The sequence below is a fragment of the Homo sapiens genome, chromosome X, assembly GCF_000001405.40.
Source record: "Homo sapiens chromosome X, GRCh38.p14 Primary Assembly".
In the NCBI taxonomy this organism is placed as follows: domain Eukaryota; kingdom Metazoa; phylum Chordata; class Mammalia; order Primates; family Hominidae; genus Homo; species Homo sapiens.
The window spans coordinates 133,152,032-133,154,919 of record NC_000023.11 but is presented as its reverse complement, the minus strand read 5'-3'; the positions used below and the strand labels follow the sequence as shown (position 1 = coordinate 133,154,919).

General features: G+C 39.9%; 1 non-coding gene across 1 annotated transcript; it reads right to left on the bottom strand.

The window, feature by feature from the left end:
* Positions 1 to 2,027: 2,027 nt before the first annotated feature.
* Positions 2,028 to 2,166, bottom strand: LOC124900495 (small nucleolar RNA SNORA8). The gene has a single exon (XR_007068425.1). It is a non-coding gene; the product is annotated as a small nucleolar RNA SNORA8 (small nucleolar RNA).
* Between the last annotated feature and the right edge of the window lie 722 nt (positions 2,167 to 2,888).

Genomic DNA, 2,888 nt, shown 5'->3' with positions numbered 1-2,888 from the left:
GAATTGGAAGACCCAATATTGTTAAAATGTCCATACTACCCAAAACAATCTACAGATTTCATGCAATCCCTGTCAAAATCCCAATTTTTTGCAGAAATACAAAAATACATCTTAAAATTCATATAGAATGTCAAGGGACCTCAAATAGCCAAAATAAGCTTAAGAAAATAAAATTGACCAAGCACAGTAGTTCATGCCTGTAATCCCAGCACTTTGGGAGGCCAAGGCTGGCAGACTGCTTGACCCCAGGAGTTTGAGACCAGCTGGGCAACATGGGAAAACACTGTTTCTACAAAAAATACAAAAATTAACTGGGCTTGGTGGCATGCACCTATAATCCCAGCTACTGAAGAGGCTGAGGTAGGAGGATCACCTGAGCTCAGGAGGTCGAGGCTGTGGTGAGCTGTGATCATGCCACTGTACTCCAGTCTGGGTGACAGAGTGAAACCCTGTCTCATCTCAAAAAAAAAAAAAAAAAAAAAAAAAAAAAAAAAAAAGAAAGAAAGAAAAAAAAAGAAAAAAATTGGGAACTGACCTTTTCCAATTTGAAATCTTACTACAAAGCTATGGTAATCAAAACAGTATGATACTGGAATAAAAACAGACATATAGACCAATGAAATAGAATAGAGGTCCAGAAATAAACCTTCACATATATGGTTAAATTATTTTCAGCAGTATGGTGCTGTATTAATCTGTTCTCATGCTGCTAATAAAGACATACCCGAGATTGAGTAATTTATAAAAGAAAGAAGTTTAATGGACTCACAGTTTCACATGGCTGGGGAAGCCTTATAATCATGGCAGAAGGCAAATGAGGAGCAAAGTCACATCTTACATGGCAGCAGGCAAGAGAGCTTGTGCAGGGGAACTCCCCTGTATAAAACCATCAGATCTCGTGAGACTTATTCACTACCACGAGAACAGTATAGGGGAAACACCTCCGTGATTCAATTATCTCCACTTGGCCCTGCCCTGGACGCATGGGGAATGTTACAATTCAGGGTGAGATTTGGGTGGGGACACAGCCAAACCATATCAGGTGCCAAGACCACTCAATGGAGAAAGACAGTTCTTTCAACAAATGGCACTGGGAAAATGGAATATCCACATGCAAAAGAAAGAAATTGGACCCATACCTTATACCATATACAAAAATTAACTCAAAATGGGTCAAAGACCTAAATATAAGAACTATGATTAGTGCTTCTCTGTAAATGCATTCAGCACCCCCAAGGGAGTTTACTCTTTCCCTGGAAAGGCTTAAGCAGAAGCTGCAAGACCAGGTAACTTGGTAGGAATGCAGTGTAGGCTAGTGGCTAACAAATGCCAAATCAGACAGCTGAAAATCTGGTTGTATCAACATCACCTGGGGAGCTTTTTAAAAAATCTAGATATGCAGCCTACAAGAGAATCTGACTCAAGAAATTTGGAGTGGAACTCAAGGGTCTGCATTTCAAAGCTCCTTGGGTGATTCTGAGGCAAAGCCAGGTTGGGGAAGTTCCAGGTAGGGGATTCAAGCATCAGATTTGGACTAGAGGCCTACAACTCAATGTGTGGTCCATAGACAAACAGCATTGGTATCACCTGGAAGCCTTTTTTTGTTTTGTTTTGTTTTTAAATCAATACATTTTTATTCAAGGAATTTTATGTTGTAATCCCTTCTACTGTCCATCAAGGTCACTTTGGATCCTCTAAAGAGCTGGAGTCAAAATTTGTCTTCAAGAGATTTATTAATATCTTCAAGTTAGCCCTTTTTAATAGAACTGATGCTTAATCCAGTTGTCCTGTCAGCCCGTAATTCTTTTATTTTGGTTTCTTTCATCTCTTTTTAATATGAATATACTGATGAAGGCATCAGAATTCACCAAGAATCTTTGGGATCTAATTTCTTCAACCAATTTACTTTAGGGTCATTTTCACAGTAGGAGGATCTGCTTCATTCTCAATTTGACACCTTAGAAAAAGAAAAGCATTGCTTACTCTTAGAATATATCAAACTGAAGAGTATGAGAAACCTATACAAATGCTGTATCAATAGAAATACCAGGTTTAACAAGCACAAAGCCAAGAAAACCAATGAAACCAGATACTGGATTTCTATGGCACTGACCTTTGAACACCCTAGCAGGAGTAAACTGCTGAGTGCAGATACCACGCAGTGCATCCTGGAAGCTTTTAAGGAACAAAGACCCTAAGGCCTCACCCTAGACCTCCTGAATCAGAACTTGCATTTAATTTATATATATTTATATATATATATATATATTTTTTTTTTTTTTTTTTTTTTGGAGGCAGGGTCTCACTCTTTCACCCAGACTGGAGTGTAGAGGTGCAATCATGGCTCACTGCAGCCTCGACCTCCTGGGCTCAAGGGATCCTCCTGCCTCAGCCTCCTGAGTAGCAGGAACTACAGGTGCATGCATTACCATGCCCAGCTAAATTTTAAGTTTTTGTAGAGACAGGGTTCCACCATGCTGCCTAAGTTGGGTCTCAAACTCCTGGGCTCAAGCAATTCTCCCAGTGTGGCCTCTCAAAGTGCTGGGACTGCAGGCGTGAGCCACTATGCCCGGCCAGAACCTGTATTTTAAAAAAATTCCCAAATATTTCTATGCACATTAAAGTTTGAGAAGCAGTACGTGACATGATCTTTGCAGTCTTCTAATCCTGAGAAACTAGGGTGCCATGACCTTTTGTTTCTGTATTTTGTTACTGAATGATTATTAAATACAAACTGTGTTACTGGAGAAATATTTCCTATGGCTATGGCTCAACTTTCAAATATAGTTATCCAGTAAGGTTGTTCAGGGAAGGAGGAGAACCCTGCTCACTGTAAGGAGTGCTAAGCTTGCTCTGACTGGCCATTTAAAGACCCAGAATTCTTCAGC